Below are 21,145 nucleotides of genomic sequence, written 5' to 3' on the forward strand. Positions count from 1 at the left end.
ATTATCTCAGTGGAAGTGGTGGTAGGAGGGAAACGAAGATCAAATGAGAGTTTTTTAACCCTTTACCCATGGTTTCCCTGCTAGCCGCTTGCTTATAATCATATATAAACACTAAAGTCATACTTCCAGAAATAAAAACCCTTACGAAAACTTAACAGGGTGTATACAATGAAAACATGAGCTATTCTTTTAGGCTTGGTTCACATATTTATCTTCAAACGTCCCTAAAACACATATATTGTAGTCCCTGTTTAATGGGAGTGGTAAAATTGTCTACAGCTCTCAATACCAATCAACTTGGAGTGCCACTTTTAACTCCTGTTGTTTAATAGCCCTATTTAAGACCATATTACAGCTCGTTCAAATAAAGAATACAGGAAAAAAGTTGATTGGTCTAACAGTCAAAAAACTTACTCCAAGAACACAGCTGAAGCAAAGTATAAATTCAAAAGCTCGATCAAATGGACTAAAGGTTAAAACTATTCCAATAATCATTTCAGTAAAATATTAACGAGGAATACAGATATATCATAATACTTGAAATGTGGGACCTTCAGACAAGAATAAATTCGAAATAGGTACGTAACACAAGCATACCATACTGACATCAATGGCTACTTGACCCCATATTTCTAGAAGAGGTGCCTAAACCGAAGAGCATTCCAGTTCAGAGCTGTCCACTCACTAAAATTGTTGGATGTGGAATGTTTGAAAGTTGCCTCATGTGATTTTAACATTAACAGCTGAAAAACCAAACCACATGCACACGTCAAAGTTTCTGTAAGTTGAATCAATAATGTTCACATAAACACTGGTTTTTCCAATATGCCAAGTTTTTATGTTGTGTCTATATTACATAAATCTTCAAAATATTTACAAAAGGAGACAACCTGGTTAACTAAGAGTACTAAACTAGAAATCAAAGTTCTTAAACAAAAACGATTTTTAAAAATTATAAATTGTGATATTAAAATAGCAGTAATAACTAGGAGTGTCATGTGCCAAGAGCCTGTTCAAATTTGCACATTAATCCATTTAATCGTCAAAACAAATCTAGGAACTTAAAATTTGTTTTGTTCACTGCTGCCACCCCAATGTCTAAAACAGTGCCTGGTACATATTAGGCACACAGTCATTTATTGTTCATATTACAACAGATACCCTTCTTATAGAGGCACATAAACTTGCCCAGAGCTAGAATTCTAACTGGAGCATTTCTGCTCCAATGTTTACACTCTTAACCACTGTTATATTGTCTCTCTAAAGCTTTTAAATCATTTAAGTGGTGTCACAGCAGCTGGGTATGACCTGTAAGAGAAAAAAAATCAGAGGCCTTCCTTTAACGTGTTCTGTTCCACATGCACAAAAAGCTATGGATCTGGTACTATTCCACATTTTAGTGGCCTGAACTAATTCCAACAGAAAAGATTTTTATTTGTACTGAATGTTATGCTCTTTGTGTAAACCACACTGTAACATACAACTAGGCTTCTCCAATATGTTCCTGGCCTTTAAAGTGGTCACAAAAAGAGGTAATTATTTCAAAATAATTTTTACTTTAATCCTTAACTCCTAAAAAGCGTTTCTTCCTCTTTTCTTTCATTTCACAAAGATTTAAATTTGTATTTCGCATAACCCAAAATGACGATGTTATGAAGGCCCAAAACAAAATTCACGATTTCATATCAATACATACTAAGAGTGAAGATTTAAACCTTCCTCTTTCATGAAACACCAATCTTGCCAAATAAACTCCAGTCATAATTAAATACAGGCAAATGTAGTATCAGGTCTATTTTAGTAAAGGCAAATTCTTGCCATTCCTCTCAGAACTCTTTTTAAAAAAGTAATCTATTAAAACCAAAGTTTCTAACACTCACCGACACTCCACAATTTTTCTAGTAAGGCTGAATTTATTCCATGACATTTTTTTCAAGTTAGCTGTAAACACTCCACCCTCTTCGATTGTGCAACAACCAAACACATCACACAAATACAAGTCACAAAAAAGGGAAATACAGTTTAAGAGTTTGAATTTAGGTAAGTTTTGAGCAGAGGATCTTAGAGCAGTGCACAACGCGATATAAAAGTTAACATTTAACAAATCATATTAATTCACATTATTACGAAAGGAGATGCCGGAAAGAGCCTGAACCAGTTAAAGCAGCCGCCATCTTAAAATGCGGGATAGAAGTTAGAGCAAGAAAATGAGACTAAACCACCGGAGGTGGAGGTTCCGCTCACTCCCAGAGCTCCGAAAAATCCTAGTTTTTTTTCAACTTAAATCGATAATATACTATCAAACCACATTTCAAGTAACGAAACAAGGGTGTTATTAAATAGAATGAGGCAAAAATAGGTACATTAGCTTTCCCTTACTGCCATCGCACCCCTTATCCACCCCCACTCTCCAGCCAAAAGGAAAAGGGAGCTTCCAGAATGCCTTTTACATCAGTTCCCGGTGTCCCTCGGATAAATAGCTTCGGGTGAAAAGCTGCAACTACAAAATACAGGAAGTGGCAACACTGTGTCATTCCATCTCCTCCCAAACCCACTTATTCGGTGTAACCTGCCCAGAGTCGACTAAGAGTTTCTACTAGACTCACTGACTGACCTTCAATACGCAAGACTTCTTCTACCCGACCCTCAGTCAAGTTCGGGACTCGCCAGATTTTTTTTCTCTCCTCCGAGTTTTCTTTCTTACCCCTAGAAGGCCTAGATAACCTTGATCTCACAACTAAACTAAGTTTTCAAGCACCAAGAATAGGAAGCGCCATGACATCTGCTGGAGCGTCTCTCCGCAATTCGGACCCCCAAAAAAACTCCTTCTTAAGCAGCAAAAAAATAAAATAATAAAGGCGCCTTAAGTCACTCTCCTCCACCCCTAATTTGCACCGATTCCACTGAAGCACTCAGGATAACACCTCACTTGCCACAAGTGTTCTCCGTTTCCTAGCTTTAAACTTCATTTCTTCAAGAAGTATATCTGCGTTCTCCATCCCCCCATGGAAGAAGTGATCCAAGAGGTATTTTCAGAATTATGCTTCCTTCCCACCCCCACGCTTTCCTCTTGGCCCGAGCCTTCCTTTTCTCCTACCACCCCATGCCCTTGTCCCCGCGGGTTACCTTATTAATCCGTTTCAGCGCCATAGTGTGTGCTTGTCGTCTGGCTCCTCACTCTCTCGGTGTATGCTCAAAGGTCCGGCCAAAACTCTTGATTATCCCGGCGGCGGGGCAGGATTGTCTCGTCTCACACCAGCTCTGCCAGACACAGGCGCCTTTTGCAAAAACGGAGCAGATCAGCACTCGCACAGGCCCCGAAGAGCCCCTGATGAATCCAGGTCCCTTAAGACAGCCGCGATCCGGGGTGGGTGGGGTGGCGTGGCAAAGCCACCAACAGCCTCTGTACCGTGCTTTCGGCCCGAAGTGGGGGCGAGGGTGACGGGAAGAGCGGAGGTGGTGGCTACAAGTTTAACTTCCCGGCCTCTAGAAAGGAAGAGACCCGGGTGGGAGAGGAAGAGGCGTAGGAGAAAGGGGTGGGTGCGGGGCAGGGTCCGGAGCCCAGCAGAGGAGGAGCCGGGGCCTAGTCGGCGCTATACCGGCGTCACTAGGGCAAAGAAAGGCAAGGGGGGAGGGGGAAGCATAAGACTCCGGACGGACGCCGGGCTGCTTTCGGTTTCTGTCCAAAGGTGCGGCCGGGAAAAGGAAGGAAATAAAGGAAGGGAGACTTGATGTGTATTGCTATCCTCGCAGCGAGCTATTCTGTGTCACCCCTGACGCCACCGTACACTCACTCCGCCTTCCAGCGCGCTCCCGCGCGCGCCCGCCCAGCCACCTCCACCACGCGCCCGCGCTGTCCCTGAGGCTCCGGCTTAGGCGCGAGGACGCGCCCATTCCCCCTCCTCCTCCAGCAGGAGAGGCCGCGGCTTCCCCAACCTTCCCACCCTAACCCACCGCACCCAATAGGCTGGCCGCTCAAGCCGCCCAGGTCCCGCACTGCCCCTCTTACCCGGCCGGCCACTGGGCCGGCCTCCCTTCCCTGCCCTAGCCGTCCACACCCACGCGTACAGAGGGGCCGGGGCCTCCCTCAAGCTGCGGCCTCGGCCTCCTCCCCGCGCGGCAGCTGGTGCCTCCCCGGCCCTACGGGGCTCACGCGCACGACACAGCCACAAGATGTCCGCTCTGACGGAACTACTGCCAGCTGCCACGCTCCGCCCCTCCCCCTCCTCCTGCCTCTTCACCGCCGCGGATCAGTCCGCCAACGCCGCCGTCCCGAGCACAAGACCGATGTGAGGCCGAAGCCAGACGGCTTGCTTCCCACGTCCGGGGCCGAGTGAATACGTGTCAAGCCCTTTTCCTTCTTCTCGGAACAGCACCTTCTTACTAAACAGATCGGAGATTGGACCAGGAGGGCGGGGGAGGGAGGAGGATCATGAGCTGGGGGGAGGGTGAACGAGTGGCGGAAACCCTTAGGCTCAGAGAAGCATCGAGAACCGGAAGGAGACCATGGGAGGAAGGTAAAGGAAGCAGCCGCTGCGCGATCCAGCCCCACGCCCCTCCCCACAGCGTCCCCCAGTTTCCTCACTTGGTATCGAGGAGACGACTCTCGCGAGAACTTCGTGGCTGGCTAACCGAAGCGGTAGCTCTGCAATGACTTAAGAGCAGTTTTGTGCGCTTTTCCTGACGGGGTTCCGCCTCCAAAATGCATAAGTTCTCGCGAGACGCAGTAAGGCACCGGCTCGAACTGGGGCGGGCCACTGCCAGGAAAGCAACGCCCCTGAATGCTTATGCCGGTGGTTGGTAGAGGAAATGGAATTCCCCAGACTGGTAAGAGCGCGCGCAGACACAGCCTTGTCTCACGCGCCCAATCAGGAGCGTGTGGTGGGAGGTGCCAAGGATTAATTACCAGATACCTTTAGTCTAGCTCGGGCCGGGATTTTGAGGTTTCCGGTGGAGCAGGTGAGCAGTATTTACTCGCCTGCCCTCCTGGGCTGGTTATGCTGTGGGAGGAGGCGCCCCTCGAGATGGGAATAGTAGTTTTAAATAGACCCAGGTTGGCCGCTCATCAGCGCTCCCACGTGCTGAAGTCTAGTGCACGTCTGACCCTAAGGGAGCAATACTGAGAACAGCAGGGAGCAGGCTGAGTCAAGCTCAATTGAGTGGATGGGGCTAGGACAGAGAGAGTTAGGGGCAGGGTTTTCACTGGTCTCCGTAATCAGTCGCTGCCGTCCGCCAAGGTGTAGATGTGGGAACAAGCTTAAATTCTCAAACTTTAGCTTCTGTTGCTGTGTTTCAGTTCTTGAGCCAGAAAGTGTTGAGACTAATTAGTTAATTAGGTAGAGTTTAGAGTCAGAAAAACAATACAATACTTCCTGAAATATCCAAGTTGGGAGGTGGGATTTACCTCAGTAGGATTGGCCTGTTTTAGTCAAGGGTTTAAAGTATGGAGACGGCAGTTATGCTCTCTAGTGTATCCTTCAGGCAAAAGAAAGACCTTAATTTTTATGAGGAATTTAAAAGTGGGTAAGCACTGACCAGCTTAAGGTTTTTTAACATTCCTTAATGACCCCAGTTACCGAAGTGGAGATCTTCAATTACTTGGAAAAATAAACTTGTTTTAAAAATACACTTAATTTGAAAACTGTTGCAGAAAGTTTTACCTAATAAAAACTTAACACGTCAACAATGATGAATATAAGTAGTCTAATGTATACTGTTCAAGTGACCATGTAGTGTCACTAGTGAAGCAGTGCTTCTCAAACTAGTGTCCATAGGAACCACCTGGGGTTTTGTTGAAAATGCGACTTTGATTTGGTAGGGCAGTGGTGGAGCCTGAGAGCCTACATTTCTAACTAGCTCCCAGGTGATACAGATTTTTCTCGTCTGAACCACCCCGTGAGTAGCAAAGCACTGAAGTGCTTACCTCATGGCCTAACTGCTCATGAGGCTCACCTCAGTAACACCTCTGGCCCCTCCCTCCTCCCTGAATAATCTGTGTTCTCTCTCATAGCTAGCCAGATATACTAAAAGCACAGGACTAGGCATGAAGATGGAGGGAGGAACCCAGATTAGTTATTGCTTCCCATTTGCTTGATATTGGCCTGGTTAGTTATCTTCTAACCCCGTTTCTTCACCGCTAAAGTAAGTAATAATGACTGTCCTTTCTCACAGGGTGATTGTGTGGTTAAAGTGTCATAATATATGTGAAAGGACACTGGAGACTCTACAGTGCTGTATAAATGTCAGTTATTAAAGTAACCAGTCAGACATTAACTGGCCATAGTGTGAAACAAATGTATAGTAGTAATAGTGGCCACGCCTGTAATCCCAGCACTTTGGGAGGCTGAGACGGGTGGATCATATGAGATCAGGAGTTCGAGACCAGCCTGGCCAAAACAGTGAAACCCCATCTCTACTAAAAATACAAAAAATTAGCTGGGCGTAGTGGCGGGCGCCTGTAATCCCAGCTGCTTGGGAGGCTGAGGCCGGAGAATCGCTTGAGCCTGGAAGGCGGAGGTTGCGGTGGGCCAAGATCACTGCGACAGAGTGAGACCCTGTCTCAAAAAAAAACAAGAACAAAAAACAAAACTAATATATATGGAGTTCTAGATTATCCATGCTTATAAAGGCAAGTGATTGTGTAATCACAAACTCATTATTGTTAGGCAGTGAAGTAAATTCATTGGTTGATTGGGCTTTCTGTTTACAAGTTTGTATTTGCATAAGTGGACTTACATTTCTGCTTATATTTTGCCATGGTTAAAATCAAAAGAAACATAGCCTAGAAGCATTTTGATGCCTTAGGATAAAGCAGGCTAAGATTAAGTTAAATTTTAAAACATTATTCATGTACCTGTTGTTACAGAGAGCCCACTTTACAGTTGCAAATAAAGTTAAAACATTTTCATTCATTTAACTTACTTGAATTACAATGGTAGAGATGTCCTCATTTGAAACAAGAAAGGAAAATAATCATGTTTTTTATATTGCAGTCGGAAATAATGCTAACAAGAAAAAAATTATGGCTGTAAATACTGAAAGAAAAATTTACATTTAGAAATTAATAAAGGTACAAAAATGTTGAAAATTTAATTAACTAAAAATAATCCCTTCCTTAATAAATACTATTTTGAAGTCCTAAAAACTTTGTAAATATAGTAGATCAGATTATCTTGCATGAATTGACATAAAACATGAGAAAATAGAAAGGATCAAGAAAATTAAAGCTGGGCTGGTGGCTTACGCCTGTAATCCCAGCACTTTGTGAGGCCAAGGTGGAACGATCACTTGAGCCCAGGAGTTTGAGACCAGCCTGGATAACATAGGGTGACCCAGTCTCTACAAAAATAATAAAACAATTAGCTGAGCATGGTGGTACACGCCTATGGTCCCAGCTACTTGGGAGGCTGAGGTGGGAGGATTGCCTCAGCCTGGGAGGTTGAGGCTGCAGTGAGCTGTGATTGTGCCACTATACTCAAGCCTGTGATGGAGCAAGACCCTGTCTCAGAGAAAATTACTAGTAAATGGGCAATTAATCTACCAATCTGAATAATGGTGGTGTGCCAGGGTCTTATTACATGAATTTTTCAGTGAGGCCACGTTATTATAATAACTTGAGAGTAAGGGGTTAATTAGAATGTATTGATGAATAAACATAATTAACAGATTTTATATATATGTACTTAATATTGTATCTATGTTTTCATGTATCTTTAATTTTGTTACAGAATATTATAACTTGCCAAAGACACTGGCTCTAGTACAGTGTATACCATTTTATTAGTTTAATTAAATTGTAAATGCTACGGTCCAGATTTTATATTCAGAATGCTCATTTACATATTCTGCCTGGACCAAGTAATTTGGAGCCCAGGTCAACCAAATGTTATTTTACATTGTTTGCACAAAAATCAAATTGATTTCTATACTTAACAATTCAGAATCTCATTAAGTCAAATTAATATGGTTTAAGAAAGTGTACTTTATTTCATGCTAAGATGTCATTTTGGCCTTAATAAGGCTTTTGGCATGTAATGAAGCATGCACAAATCTTTGAGATAAAAATAGAGCATTTTTCCACACAAAAACATATATATACACAAATGTTCAGAGTAGGGCTATTCTACTTTTTAGTAGAAACAACTCAAATGTCCATCAGCTGATGAATGGATAAAGAAGATGTGATATATGTGTATAATGGAATATTATTATTATTATAAGGAACAAAGTACTAATACATGTTACAAAATGTATCTTGAAGCCTTAAAACATTCTGTCAAGTGAAAGAGCCAGACACAAAAGGCCACATACTGTTTGATTCTGTTTATGTGAAATGACCACAATAGTGCATTCTGTCTTCCAAAAAGCTGGTTTACTTACAAACACAGGTTAAAAAAATATATATTTGTAATACTGCTTTTGGTGTAGGGTGAGGCACGATAAAGAGACTTTCATTCGGTTTGTCAATCAGTGATACTTAGGTCTGAATAGGCAAGTGGGAGTCTTTCAGGTTTAGGACAAAGAATGTTAATGTAGTAGAGATCTGTTGATAGAGTCACTCCTAGTTTTCTATTTATTTAAAAAACATCGAATTACTATTAGGTGCTAGACACTGAAGATACATAAAAGACACAGATGTCATCTATAAGAAAGTCTCTTGAGGAGACCAGTAAGCATCAGACAACATCATAGAGTGGGTTCAGTGACATAAATGTGTGCACAGAGCACTATTAATGTACTGAACTCAGCTGGCGGTGGTCAGGGAAAGTTTCTCTGAGGAAGAGAGTTGTATTAAAACAAATGAAAAAAAGGGAGCAAGGCAAAGTTGGAAAAAAATTGTGAGGGAGGCTCCTAGGAAGAGGAAACAGCATGCAAAGTCTCAGAGATGACTTGATAAGTTTTTAAAACTAGAAAAACTTTGGCTGCAGTATTGCGAGGTTGAGGTGGCGGGGGGAGCGGCAAGGAGAGAATGAGAAGACAGAAAAGATGAGGAGACAAGATAGATTTGAAAGACATGACTGGAGATCTTGAGGGCCTTTTATTTTGAAGGGGATGGGATAGAATGGAGAAATTGAATTTTTAACAAAAATGGCCTGATCAGATTTGATGGCAAAAAGGTAACTGTGATAGCAATGTTGAAGCATGTGCCCAAAGTATGTATTGGGATGGAGACTAGAGGCAAGAAAAACAGGATGTTAATGAAATAATCCTGAAGAAATGTGAGAAAGATCTGAAATAGTTGCACTAATAAGAGAGAGTACAGGAAGTAAACTTAGTTTATTTACTGGGTCAAGCTTGCCTAAAAAATATTTGGGGGCGGGGGGAATTCTCCCTCCAGTTACCTTTATTAGAATGTTACAATAAAATCAAGCCAGGCACAGTGGCTTATGCCTGTAATTCCAGCACTTTGGGAGGCCAAAGCAGGAGGATTGCTTGAGTCCAAGAGTTTGAGATCAGCCTGTGCAACATGATGAAACTGTGTCTCTACAAAAAAATTAGGCATAGTGGCATGTGCCTGTGGTCCCAGCTGCTCTGGAAGCTGAGGTGGGAGGATCCCTTGAGCCCAGAAGGTCAAGGTTGCAGTGAGCCATGTTGCAGCAGTGCACTCTAGCCTAGGTGACAGAGTGAGACCCTGTCTCTCAAAAAAAAAAAAAAATGTTTATAGAAAAACAAAATATGATATTCTAATAAAATAACTTGAAACAATAGTATGAACTTCCTATGTTTTTAGCTCTTAAAGAACTACGAAACTAAAGTTTACATAACATTGGAAACATGTGCTACATGTTTTTTTTTTTTGCAAATCAAATCTCCTCTTGAAACTCAAATGTAGGACTAACTGCCACAATTTCATTTCTTTTAAATTTGGCCATGTCTGTACTAACTGCTGTGATCCATGTCTCAGTTCTCTTACCACTTTACTAGAACCTTTGGGAGACTTTTGTTCATTCTTTGACTGATATCATTTGGCTTTCAAGTGGCCAGGAAAAAGAATTCATTATCTATTTCTGTTCCATCTGCCTCAGACAAAATACTATTATGTGTTGCCAACAAGATCATAAACCTAAATAAAACAGAGGTTCTAAAATCACATGGCAGTACTTAGTATAAGTGGGTATCAAGGTGACTGAGACTGTGCTTACAGTAATTATAGATTACTAAAATCACAAAATGGAAAAAAGTTCATGTAGAGAATTCAAAGAATTTAGTTTGATGTAGATAGAGATTATAACAATCCTTTTGTCACATACCTAAAGTGGAATTTGTTGAGTTTGACCTTGTGACTTTTGAGTCAAGAAATGCTAGGCAGGTAGAACAGATAAATTAATAAACCTGATTCTGAAATGGAAGTAAAAGGGCTTTAAAGATGTTAGAAGCATTTTAAGATTCATTCTCATTCTGGATCTCAGGACATAATTTCTTATAGAAAAGTAGTTGTGCCTGCAGATCAATCCACAAAAGGCTTTAAAACCCACCCTCCCTGTATATATTACACCTATGAGAAAATGCTCCATAGAATTCCAAATTGATAACAGGAGGACCGACCTACCCCTCTGCCCGCCAGAATTCCCGTGGCTCAGGGCAAGTACTGAAGCCGAATAGGAAGAATTGACTGAGGGTAAATCATGTTGAGTGGTTGGTTGAAAGCTTTGAAAAGTTGGAGAATGGTGGTTAAGAAATCTGTACATTCAGACTTCTTGAATGTCACTGTATGTTTTGGGTTAGTGCTGGGATACTTTTCTTTTTTAGTGCCAGATCCATTAATTTACATTCCTCTCCACTGCCATTATCAATTGCTTCCTAACAGAAACCAGTAAGCTTTCTTTTTCCCCCTTTTCTACAGAGAAGAGCAGTTTCACAAGATTCAACTTTTCTTATACTTTTGTTCCTAAAACAGATACACACTCTGTTAAGTTTTCATAAGGGTTTTTATTTCTGCAAGTATGACTTTAGTGTTTATATATGATTATAAGCAGGCAGCTAGCAGGGAAACCATGGGTAAAGGATTAAAAAACTCTCATTTGATCCTGGTTTCCCTCCTACCACCACTTCAGCCCCCAATCCCTGCCTAACAAATTAGACCCAATAGAAAAAGTCACAAGATTGAGGGCCGGGTGTGGTGGTACATAGCTGTAATCCCAGCACTTTGGGAGGTCAAGGCAGGGTGGATTGCTTAAACCCAGGAGTTAGAGACCATCTTGGGCAACATGGCAAAACCCTGTCTGTACAGAAAATAAAAAATCAGCATGGCGTGGTGGTATGCACCAGTAGTCCCACATACTAGGGAGGCTGAGGTGGGAGGATTACTTGGGCCCAGGAGGTCAAGGCTGCAGTGAGCTGTGATCAGGCCACTGCCCTCCAGCCTGGATGACAGAGTGAGACCCTGTCTGGAAAAAAAAAAAAGATTCAACTTTTTTTTTTTTTGTCTTTTGTTTGTTTTGAGACAGGGTCTCTCTGTTACCCAAGTTGGAGTGCAGTGGCACCATCTTGGCTCACTGAAGCCTCTGCCTCCAGGGCTCAAGGAGTCCTCCCACCTCAGCCTCCTGAGTAGCTGGGACTACAGGCATATGCCACTAGGCCCAGCTAATTTTTGAACTTGCCCACACAGATTCTTTCCCCTTTTCCATCCATCTCCAATCCCCACTCTCTCAGGATACCCTGATGGCTCTGTGGGTATCCTTAGTGTTCACTTATCACAGTCTACAGAACCACCAGTCTAATGAATATAAAATATTTTAAATTATAATGAAGAAGCCTCATTATGAGTAATAGTAACATGTGAAGCAAATACAATCAGCCCTCCAGATCTGTGAGTTCCACATCCATGGATTCAACCAACCACGGATCCAAAATACACATTTTTAATTGCATATTTTCTGAACATACATACTTTTTTCTTGTTACTGTTCCCTAGACAATACAGTATATTTACAGTGTTTACATTGTACTAAGTATTATAAGCAATCTAAGGAGGATGTGTATAAGTTATATGCAAATATTATGGCATTTTATATCATGGATTTAAGCATCCTTGGATTTTGGTATCTGAGAGTGGTTCTGGAAACAATCCCTCATGGATACTGGAGGATGACTATAATATGAAGTATATTAGAGATAAACATATAAAGACAGGCACTCAGAGGAGTGGCTTACCAGCAGACATGTAATAAAAACATGAGAATTTCAGTTGCCTGACATCTCTGTAAGCCAGAGATATGTGCTTTTTGGCTGCCCAAAGAAACTATTTCAGTTTAACCCTGAAAGAAAGGAACTATGTTGTCTAGCATAAAGCAGTTACCTCTTCCTCATCTCTACCAGTTAGACCACAGCTACATTGTTATGTTTTTAACAGCTTTATTGAAATATAATTGACATACAATAAATTATACATACCTAAATAAACAGTTTGATAAGCTAACATATATATATACCCATGAAGCTCACCAAAATCAAGATAATGAACTTCACCACAAGTTTCCTTATGCTCTTTTATAAATCCTTTCTCTTGTTCTTCCCCCACCCCTCTGTCTTCTTAACCCACAGGACACCTCTGATCTATTTTCTGTCACGGTAAATTAGTTTGCATTTTCTAGAGCTGTATTGAAGTTGAATCACAATACAACTTCTTGTCTGCCTTTTTTCACTTAGCATAATTATTTTGAGACTTACCTATATTGTTGTCTCTCAGTAGTTCATTATCTTTTATTGCTAAATAATATTCCATTGTATGTATTTGCCACAATTTATCCATTCACCAGTCAGTGGACATTTGGTTTGTTTCCATTTTTTTTTTTTTTTTTTTTTTTGTGACTGAGTCTCACTCTGTCACCCAGGCTGGAGTGCAGTGGCGCAATCTTGGCTTACTGTAACCTCTGCCTCCTGGGTTCAAATGATTCTCCTGTCTCAGCCTCCTGAGTAGCTGGGACTATAGGCACTCGCCACCACGCCGGCTAATTTTTTTATTTTTTAGTAGAGACGGGGTTTCACCATGTTGGCCAGGCTGGTCTCGAACTCCTGACCTCAGGTGATCCACTCAGCTCAGCCTCCCAAAGTGCTGGGATTATAAGAGTGAGGCACTCCGCCTAGCCTCTTCCAATTTTTGTCTTATTACAAATAGGGCTACTATGAACATTCTTTACAGTGTTTATATGGACATATGTTTTCATTTCTCTTGAGTAAGTAGCTTAGGAGTGGAATAGCTAGATTATATGGTAGATATGTGTTTAACTTTTTAAGAAACTGCCAAACTTTCCCAAGTGTTTTTTACCACTTTATGGTCCCACAAGCTATGTATGAGTGTTCCAATTTCTCCTGACTGGTTAGGATTAGTCTTTTCAATTTTAGCCATTGTAATAGGTGTGTAGTGGTATTTCATTGTCATTTTAATTTGCATTTTCCTAGTGACCAATGATATTGGCATTTTTTCATGTGCTTCTTTGTCATCCACATATCTTCTTTGCTGAAATGCCTGTCTGTATTTTTCCCCATTGTTCATTGTATTCCTTTTGTCAGTATTTATTTATAGGTGACACATATGGGAGTGGCCTTAAATGTTTTTTAACTAATAAAGTCATAACAAGGTAACATATACCTGGAGGAATATGAAAAAGCATGACAAACTTTACTTTGCGAGATAGCAAAATTTAAGATTTCACTATATAAATCTGAGTACTAGGTCAATTTTTTTTGTGGGTTTTTGGGTGAAACCTGCTAGACAGATTCTAAAAGAGCAGTCACACTATGTCTATTTTTTAAATTATTAGCTAGCAGAACCACCTCAACTCATATTGACTAGTCCCTAAGTCACTTCCACAATTAAGAGTATAGGCAGTAGTGTGATAGAACTGGCTTGTAACAGCTTACAAGGGTCAATTTAAAAATTGTAGGAATTTTGCAGGCTGATTGTTAAACACAGCCATTATTAAAAATTATAGAAACTGACAATTATATTAAAATCTGTTAAATAAAGCTCAATAATAAATACTCAAAACTCACTTCCTAGTTATTTTACTATAGACATACCTAATTTTATTGAACTTCATGGATATGGTATATTTTACAAGTTGTAAGTTTGTGGCAGCCCATATTGTGCAAGTTTGTGGTGCCATTTTTCCAACAGCATGTGCCTACTTTGTTAGTATGTTTTAGCAATAAAGTATTTTTTAATTAAAGTATGTACACAGGCCAGGTGCAATGGCTCATGCCTGTAATCCCAGCATTTTGGGAGGCTGAGGTGGGAGGATCGCTTGGGCCCAGGAGTTTGAGACAAGCTTAGGCAACACAGTGATCCTGTCTCTACAAAAAATTTTTCGGCTGGGCGCAGTGGCTCACGCCTGTAATCCCAGCACTTTGGGAGGCCAAGGCGGGCGGATCACGAGGTCAGGAGATCGAGACCATCCTGGCTAACATGGTGAAAACCCATCTCTACTAAAAATACAAAAAAATTAGCCAGGCGTGGTGGCAGGCACCTGTAGTCCCAGCTACTCGGGAGAGGCTGAGGCAGAAGAATGGTGTGAACCCGGGAGGCGGAGCTTGCAGTGAGCCGAGATTGCGCCACTGCACTCAAGCCTGGGTGGCAGAGTGAGACTCTGTCTCAAAAAATATATACATATTTTTCTAAAATTTTCTAAAATAGCTGTAGTCTCAGCTATTTGGGAGGCTGAGGTGGGAGGATTGCTGAAACCTGGGAGGTTGAGGCTGCTGTGAGCCATGGTCTTGCTGCTGCACTCCTACCTGGTGACAGAGCAAGACTCTGTCTCAAAAAAAACTGTGTACACTTGTTTTAGACATAATGCTATTGCACATTTAAATAGTGTAAACATAACTTTCATATGCACTAGGAAATGGAAAAATTCACGCGAACTAAACCCACAGTATCTCTGAGGTATGCTATACCTTTTACTGTGTTCCGTGTTTTTGTGGTTATGTCTATTGTATCTGCATGGTGGAAGTATTACAGTTTGATAGTGTGCACCTCTTCCCAGCTCTGTGTTCAGTGATGTTCTTTGGAACATGACACAGTACCACATAGGAGTACTTTCCCCAGGGAAATTTGAAAACACCACAGATCAGATCTCTGCCTGCTGCTCCCTACTTCAGGCTAGTTGTTAAACTTTACCAGCACACTTGTGATGACATGACCCTTCAAGTTGACTGACTTCTGTCAGTAATGAATAATCGAGGCATCAGTTAGATGGAGAGTTTACCTTTGTGAAACACTTAACTCTCAAAAAGAAATATTTTTGTTACAGAATAAAGCTTGTAACACCTAGTTTTCTTGGTGTTCAATGTTTTCCTTACTTCCAAATTCTCTAAGGTAGAGAAAGGTAAAGTCTGACTACTGGATAAGGGGGGATACTAATACAGTAGTTCTGTGGTCTCAAGTAAAAGCGTAAAATATTACATTTGAAGTAGAACTAGAAAGGATGCTAAACAAAACTGTGCTGGGCAAAAAAAAAAAAAAAAAAAAAAAAGAGGAAAAGGAAAGGCAAATAGCTCTATCTAACCAAAATTCTATTCATGTGAGGGAGCAAAAGATGATACAAGAGGAGAGTTTCTTCTGACCCCCAAATCAGCTTTTTAATGGATGAAGCTCTTTTTGTCCAGAGTTACTGAAGCTTCTGGATGTTGTTAGGAATTTAAGTTCCCAGACAGATTCAGTAAAATACTATAGCAGTCCAGAGAAAACCAAATAAACTTGCAGGGAGAGGGAGGGAAGGGAAATTCTAAGTATAAAAGATAAATCTACAGCTAAGGTTGAATGGCTGTTACAATTAAATTTTTTTAAAACTAGGAGAAACTGACTAAGGATTTCAAATGGAATAGAAACTGTCTTACACTTTAGGGTCTAAATGAAAGGCATATACATTTAAAATGTAAAAGAAAGAAATATATCATATGACTTTCTTCTTCTTTCTTACTTTTTTGAGACAGGGTCTCACTCTGTCACCTAGGCTGGAATGCAATGGCGCCATCATGGCTCACTACAGCCTCAACCTCACAGGCTCAAGTGATCCTCCCACCTCAGCCACCACCACCAAAGAGCTAGGACTACAGCCGCTTGCCGCCACACCCAGCTAATTTTTTTTATCTTTTGTAGAAACAGGGTTTCACCATATTGCCCAGGCTTGTCTTGAACTCCTGGGATCAAGCAACCTGCCCGCCTCGGCTTCCCAAAGTGCCATGATTACAGTGTGAGCTACTGCACCCGGCCTCATATGATTTTGAATAAGGCATTTGCTTTATGCTTTACAAGGTACTAGTAGTAAAAACTGTTTAGAGTGATGTACATAAAGAACAGTTCAGACACAAATGTAAGACCTGAAGCTATAAAACTACTAGAAGAAAACAGGTAAACCACTTCAGGACATTGGGTCTAGGCAAAGATTTTATGGCTAAGACCTCAAAAGCACAAACAGCAAAGACAAAAATAGCCAAATTGGACTATATTAAACTAAAAAGCTCAGCAAAGGAAACAGCAGAGTGAAGAGATAACCTGTTGTATGGAAGAAAATATTTACAAACTATTAATCCAACAAGGGACTAATGTTGAGAGTATACAAGGAACTTAAAAGTAAAACAAAAATAACCCCATTAAAAGTGGTCAAGCGATGTGAATAGACATTTCTCAGAAGAAGACACAAATGCCCAATAAGTATATGAAAAATGTGTAATATCACTAATCATCAGAAAGATGCAAATGAAAACCACAGTAAGGTATCACCTATGACAGAGTGGTTATTACGAAAATAACAGATGCTGGTAAGGATGCAGAAGAAATTCTTTTATACTGTCAGTGGGATTGTAAATTAATACAGCCTCTATGGAAACACAGTATTTCTCAAAAAACTAAAAGAACTGCCATATGATCTGTCAATCCCACTAATGGGTATTTATTCAAAGGAAAAGAAATCAGTTCAATGCAGCACTATTCACAGTGGCAAAGAACAGAATCAACTTACGTGTCCGTCAACAGATGAATGGATAAAGAAAATGTGTTACCTATGCACAATGAATACTATTGGCCACAAAAAAGAATGAAATCATTTCCTCTGCAGAAACATGGAAGGTACTGGAGATTATTGTGTTAAGTGAAATAAGCCAGGCACAGAATGACAAATATCACATGTTCTCTCATTCATGTGGAAGCTAAACATGTTGATCTCATGGAGGCAGAGAGTAGAATGATGGTTACCAGAAGCTGGGAAAGGTGTCTGGGTGGGAGGGGGGATGAAGAGACGTTGGTGAATGGGTACAAACATACAGTGAGATATGGAACAAAGGAATGTTTAATAGCAGAGTAGGGTAACTATAGCTAGTAACAGTGAATGCTTTTTGTATTTTAAAGTAGCTAGGAGAGAAGACTTGAAATGTTCCCAGCACTTAGAAATGAGAAATATTCGAGGTGATGGATACCCCAGTCAAGGTAACAAAATAGCCCATATACCTCATAAATATGTAAACTATTATATATCGATTTTTTTAAAAGTATAGCAGTTTGTTACAAAAATTAGCTGGGCACGGTGGCAGGCGCCTGTAGTCCCAGCTACTCAGGAGGCTGAGGCAGGAGAATCGCTTGAACCCAGGAGGCAGAGGTTGCTGCAGTGAGCTGAGATCATGCCACTGCACTCCAGTCTGGGTGACAGAACAAGACTCTTTTAAAAAAAAAAAAAAGTATAGCAATTTGGTATTAAACTGGAAGGACCAAAGGACCTAACAAATAATCTTTAAACCAGTCAATGCCCTATGTAACTTGTTTACCAATAAATTGGACAGAACAGATGGAACTTTAGTGGATACAGGTGGTTTATTTTTAAATGAGGAGGGAATACAAATTCCCCAGGAGATAACCTCTTTCTCTAAGAACATAAAGTTTTATGTAGGAGACAGAACATTCTCATATGAAAAATACCTAAGAATATATGAAACTAATATATGTAATAGGAAGCTATTACATATATTAATGGTAACTTAGTTGTTCAGTTTTTAGTTACTGCTGAACATCTTGACTATTTAAATAAATCACTATTTTTTCCCTAACCTTGTCCAGATTTCTAAAACTCAGTTACTCTCCTAACCAGTCTACTTAAGTGAATATATTTTTCCAGTCATCAAGACTAAGATTCAGTATAATGGAGTCATCTTTGTCTTTCACCCTTCCCTTTCCTTATGAGTGTCCATTTCTACTTATTTAGGCCTTCAATGCATATTACACCTTAAATTGTATAACAGTTTATACATTTTAAAAGATTTTCATCATTATGTAATCCCTCTGAGTTAAGCAGAAGTGATTAACATTTCATCACTCAAGTATTTATTGAGGGCCTACAAGGTCACTACAAGGTGAGTGACATATAAATAAGGATGCAGAATCAGGCAGGTCAAATGACTTGCCCAAGGTGACAGGATCAGTGATTATTACCAGTCTTATGATTCTAATATCAGCATTCTTTTCATTACACTATGATGCCTCTCAACTCATATTTGGTCCATTACTATAAATTCATAGTGGGCTTCTCTGCCTCTACTTTTCCTTCTCCAGACTATCTTGCACATCACCATTAAATTAAACACAGCTTTCATTATAATGTAGCACAATAAAGAACTTTTCAATGGTTTCCTATTGTATAGAGGAGAAAAACTTTATCTCTACTTTTTACAGGATATCTCTATTAAACTGTGATCCTCATATTCTTTTGAACATACTTTTACTTTTCTAAGAGTATGCCTTTGCTTTTAGCAGTTTAACCTTCTTTGAGTTTCAAGTCCCTAAGTAATAGTTATTACCGTAGATCTAGATATTTATGTACCAAGCATTATCTATAGACTACATATATGCACAACTACCTTGTGTATTTTGACTGAGGGAGTAAAGTTTTGATACTAAAAAAAAAAAAAAAAGAGTCCTCTTTGCTGGGTGAGGTGCCTCATGCCTGTAATCCCATTGCTTTGGGATGCCAAAGCAGGAGAATCACTTGAGACCAGGAGTTTGAGACCAGCCTGGGCAACATAGTGGGAACCTGTTTCTACCAAAACAAAAAACAAACAAACGCTGGGCATGGTGGTGCATGCCTGTAATCTCAGCTACTCAAGGAGGCTGAGGTAGGAGAATCAATTGAGGCCAGGAGTTCAAAGTTGCAGTGAGCTATGATGAGGCCAGTGCACTCTAGCCTGAGTGACAGAAAGCCTGTCTTAAAAAAAAAAAAACCTCGAGTTTCACTTCTGATAATTAAGAACTCAGTGGTTTTGATCATACTTCTGCTGTGAACAATTAAAAAAGCTAGACCAAAACCAAACAAACACCCCTGTTTAAAGGCACTTGTTAGTGACAAGTTGTATTTTCCACTATCACAACAAAGAAAAAGGCAAAATATGTGGCAGGCGTCTTTAGATTTGGAGACAACAAAACATAGTACAATTGGGTAAGCTGTTCTTAGAGGCTTAACTGTAACTGTAAGACTACCAGTTTTGGCCAGGCGTGGTGGCTCACGCCTGTAATCCCAGCACTTCGGGAGGCTGAGGTGGGTGGATCACCTGAGGTCAGGAGTTCAAGACCAGCCTGGCCAACGTGGTGAAACCCCGTCTCTACTAAAAATACAAAAATTAGCTGGAAGTGGTGGTGCATGCTTGTAATCCCAGCTACTCAGGAGGCTGAGGCAGGAGAATCGCTTGAACCTGGGAGGCAGAGGTTGCAATGAGCCGAGATCTTGCCACTGCACTCCAGCGTGGGCAACAGAATAAGACTCCGTCTCAAAATTACCAGTTTTGAGTGGGGTAGGGCCCAGACTTAGGCTTTATGATCCTGTAGACCCAATGATATTAGAAGTTAATGTAGGAGAGATGTTATATGAAGCCTCTGGCAAGTTTCAGTGCAAGAATTACAACATAGACCCTTAAGGTTTAGGAGTAAGGCCATATCTTCCTTAGCCATGATTTTGTTTCATTTTTTTTTTTTTATTTGAAAAGTACCTCTTGACTTGCTACTGGTACCTGGAAGAGATGTAACACCTGACCATGGGACATCAAGTGACTGTGTGAATCAAACTGCCCATCATGAATTGTTGTTATTTGACTCATCAAACTGTACAACTGGATGAACACAGGAGCAGTGCACTACATATGGGACTGGAACCATGAATGAGCAGGTGACTCAGACTCCTATAGTACCTGCCTCTACTCCTTCAGCACTTCTCCCTCAACCCACATAAACTGTCATCATAATGAGTTCCCTCTGACCAGTTAATGGAAGAGAAAAAAGTATGGATGTTATGGATATCCTAACATATTTCTGGCCATTGGACCCCTAGAAACCTGTGGCAAGTCCTGGAAGTTTTTCAAGGTTCATCTTGCACCTTCTAGCATGCATATGTCGTACCAAAGCATGTAGAATGCTGCCTACTTCTGCTCTTCAGTTTCATTTAATATAATTTCATTACTCTGATAAATCAGTGTGATGTTCTATGGAATAACAAAAGACCATCAAGGTCCCTTCATACCATATAGAGAACAGGAGAGTTGATGTAGCCTGAGACAAGACAGTAAGGACTTACTGTTATCCCTCCTATTTAAACGTAGTCTGTTTCTGATTCTCCTTAGAATGGGGGTGGGGGGACATTTCCAGATCAATATCAGATCAGTATCATGTCAACATGGGTATTAATTTCTTCCGAAGAAGATACCACACCTAGAACAGCAACCATAATTGGCATCCCTACCTAATTAAAGTTTGCAGTCCACTGTCATTCTTCACTAGCCATCTGGTTTTTATATTGTCATTCTCTATGATGCATCTGGTGGCCACAGGAAATTTAAATGGGAATGTGGTATGAATCACCATGGCAGCATGGTGGCACTAATCTCTGCAATTCTTTTGGTTTTTCTATTTTGCTTTTTTATGTTTTGTAGAAATGCAGTCTTGCCATGTTATATAGGCTGGTCTCAAACTCCTGGTGTCAAGCAATCCTCCTGCCTTGGTCCCCCTAAGTGCTGGGGTTACAGGCATGAGCCACTGTGCCTGGCCAATCTCTGCAATTTCCTCAGGGATATAGCCCTGCTTTTCCTTTACTATCTTAATGAGGAGTGGTAGAAAGCAGACCTAAGCTGCTGTGTAGCACTTTCTACCATAATAGCAATCCCTCCATTGATC

The 21,145-nt window shown here is 40.8% G+C and overlaps 1 protein-coding gene, 1 long non-coding RNA gene and 1 pseudogene across 13 annotated transcripts in view, besides 10 other annotated features; 1 reads left to right on the forward strand and 2 right to left on the reverse strand.

Annotated features, from left to right (window-relative positions):
• UBE2D3 (ubiquitin conjugating enzyme E2 D3) overlaps window positions 1–21,145 on the reverse strand; it is a 74,513-nt gene that overhangs the window by 28,976 nt on the left and 24,392 nt on the right. The window contains exons 1-2 of one of the 11 annotated variants that reach the window (NM_181889.2): window positions 4,586–4,822; window positions 3,127–3,278 (exon numbers count right to left, since the gene is read on the reverse strand). The exons of 1 other annotated variant lie outside the window; for it this stretch is intronic. In NM_181889.2, coding sequence (NP_871618.1) covers window positions 3,127–3,150 — 24 coding nt within the window. In that variant the 5' untranslated portion in view covers window positions 3,151–3,278; window positions 4,586–4,822. Of the gene's footprint in view, window positions 1–1,880; window positions 1,960–2,379; window positions 2,505–3,126; window positions 3,501–4,068; window positions 4,194–4,233; window positions 4,823–21,145 lie in introns of those variants that run through there. 9 more of the 11 variants (XM_024454202.2, NM_181888.3, NM_003340.6 and 6 more) reach the window with 9 other exon arrangements.
• Window positions 1,840–3,039: an enhancer, noted in NCBI's record as "CDK7 strongly-dependent group 2 enhancer chr4:103746355-103747554 (GRCh37/hg19 assembly coordinates)". NCBI's record gives its function as "activates an origin of replication core promoter dependent on BRD2, BRD4, P300/CBP, MED14 and CDK7 cofactors, with strong dependence on CDK7, by STARR-seq in HCT116 cells {active_cell/tissue: HCT116}" and the evidence as "EXISTENCE:reporter gene assay evidence [ECO:0000049][PMID:35650434]".
• Window positions 2,438–2,507: an enhancer, noted in NCBI's record as "active region_21758". NCBI's record gives its function as "activates an Ori minimal core promoter by ATAC-STARR-seq in GM12878 lymphoblastoid cells {active_cell/tissue: GM12878}" and the evidence as "EXISTENCE:reporter gene assay evidence [ECO:0000049][PMID:35858748]".
• Window positions 3,622–4,183: an enhancer, noted in NCBI's record as "NANOG-H3K27ac-H3K4me1 hESC enhancer chr4:103748137-103748698 (GRCh37/hg19 assembly coordinates)". NCBI's record gives its function as "activates a minimal SCP1, AML or CMV promoter by ChIP-STARR-seq in primed H9 embryonic stem cells {active_cell/tissue: H9 hESC(primed)}" and the evidence as "EXISTENCE:reporter gene assay evidence [ECO:0000049][PMID:30033119]".
• Window positions 3,873–3,922: a silencer, noted in NCBI's record as "silent region_15600". NCBI's record gives its function as "represses an Ori minimal core promoter by ATAC-STARR-seq in GM12878 lymphoblastoid cells {active_cell/tissue: GM12878}" and the evidence as "EXISTENCE:reporter gene assay evidence [ECO:0000049][PMID:35858748]".
• Window positions 3,943–4,072: a silencer, noted in NCBI's record as "silent region_15601". NCBI's record gives its function as "represses an Ori minimal core promoter by ATAC-STARR-seq in GM12878 lymphoblastoid cells {active_cell/tissue: GM12878}" and the evidence as "EXISTENCE:reporter gene assay evidence [ECO:0000049][PMID:35858748]".
• Window positions 4,123–4,512: an enhancer, noted in NCBI's record as "active region_21759". NCBI's record gives its function as "activates an Ori minimal core promoter by ATAC-STARR-seq in GM12878 lymphoblastoid cells {active_cell/tissue: GM12878}" and the evidence as "EXISTENCE:reporter gene assay evidence [ECO:0000049][PMID:35858748]".
• Window positions 4,123–4,745: a biological region, named in NCBI's record as "NANOG-H3K27ac-H3K4me1 hESC enhancer GRCh37_chr4:103748699-103749260".
• Window positions 4,184–4,745: an enhancer, noted in NCBI's record as "NANOG-H3K27ac-H3K4me1 hESC enhancer chr4:103748699-103749260 (GRCh37/hg19 assembly coordinates)". NCBI's record gives its function as "activates a minimal SCP1, AML or CMV promoter by ChIP-STARR-seq in primed H9 embryonic stem cells {active_cell/tissue: H9 hESC(primed)}" and the evidence as "EXISTENCE:reporter gene assay evidence [ECO:0000049][PMID:30033119]".
• On the forward strand, window positions 4,697–20,748 carry UBE2D3-AS1 (UBE2D3 antisense RNA 1). Of its 2 annotated transcripts, NR_131185.1 has the most exons (3): window positions 5,956–6,141; window positions 17,351–17,425; window positions 19,966–20,748. It is a non-coding gene; the product is annotated as a UBE2D3 antisense RNA 1 (long non-coding RNA). The 2 variants fall into 2 exon arrangements; NR_131186.1 differs by lacking the exons at window positions 5,956–6,141; window positions 17,351–17,425 and adding an exon at window positions 4,697–4,827.
• Window positions 5,914–5,973: an enhancer, noted in NCBI's record as "active region_21760". NCBI's record gives its function as "activates an Ori minimal core promoter by ATAC-STARR-seq in GM12878 lymphoblastoid cells {active_cell/tissue: GM12878}" and the evidence as "EXISTENCE:reporter gene assay evidence [ECO:0000049][PMID:35858748]".
• Window positions 6,014–6,093: an enhancer, noted in NCBI's record as "active region_21761". NCBI's record gives its function as "activates an Ori minimal core promoter by ATAC-STARR-seq in GM12878 lymphoblastoid cells {active_cell/tissue: GM12878}" and the evidence as "EXISTENCE:reporter gene assay evidence [ECO:0000049][PMID:35858748]".
• Window positions 13,689–13,741, reverse strand: RNU7-151P (RNA, U7 small nuclear 151 pseudogene; annotated as a pseudogene).

The sequence above is a fragment of the Homo sapiens genome, chromosome 4 (assembly GCF_000001405.40).
Source record: "Homo sapiens chromosome 4, GRCh38.p14 Primary Assembly".
NCBI classification, from domain to species: domain Eukaryota; kingdom Metazoa; phylum Chordata; class Mammalia; order Primates; family Hominidae; genus Homo; species Homo sapiens.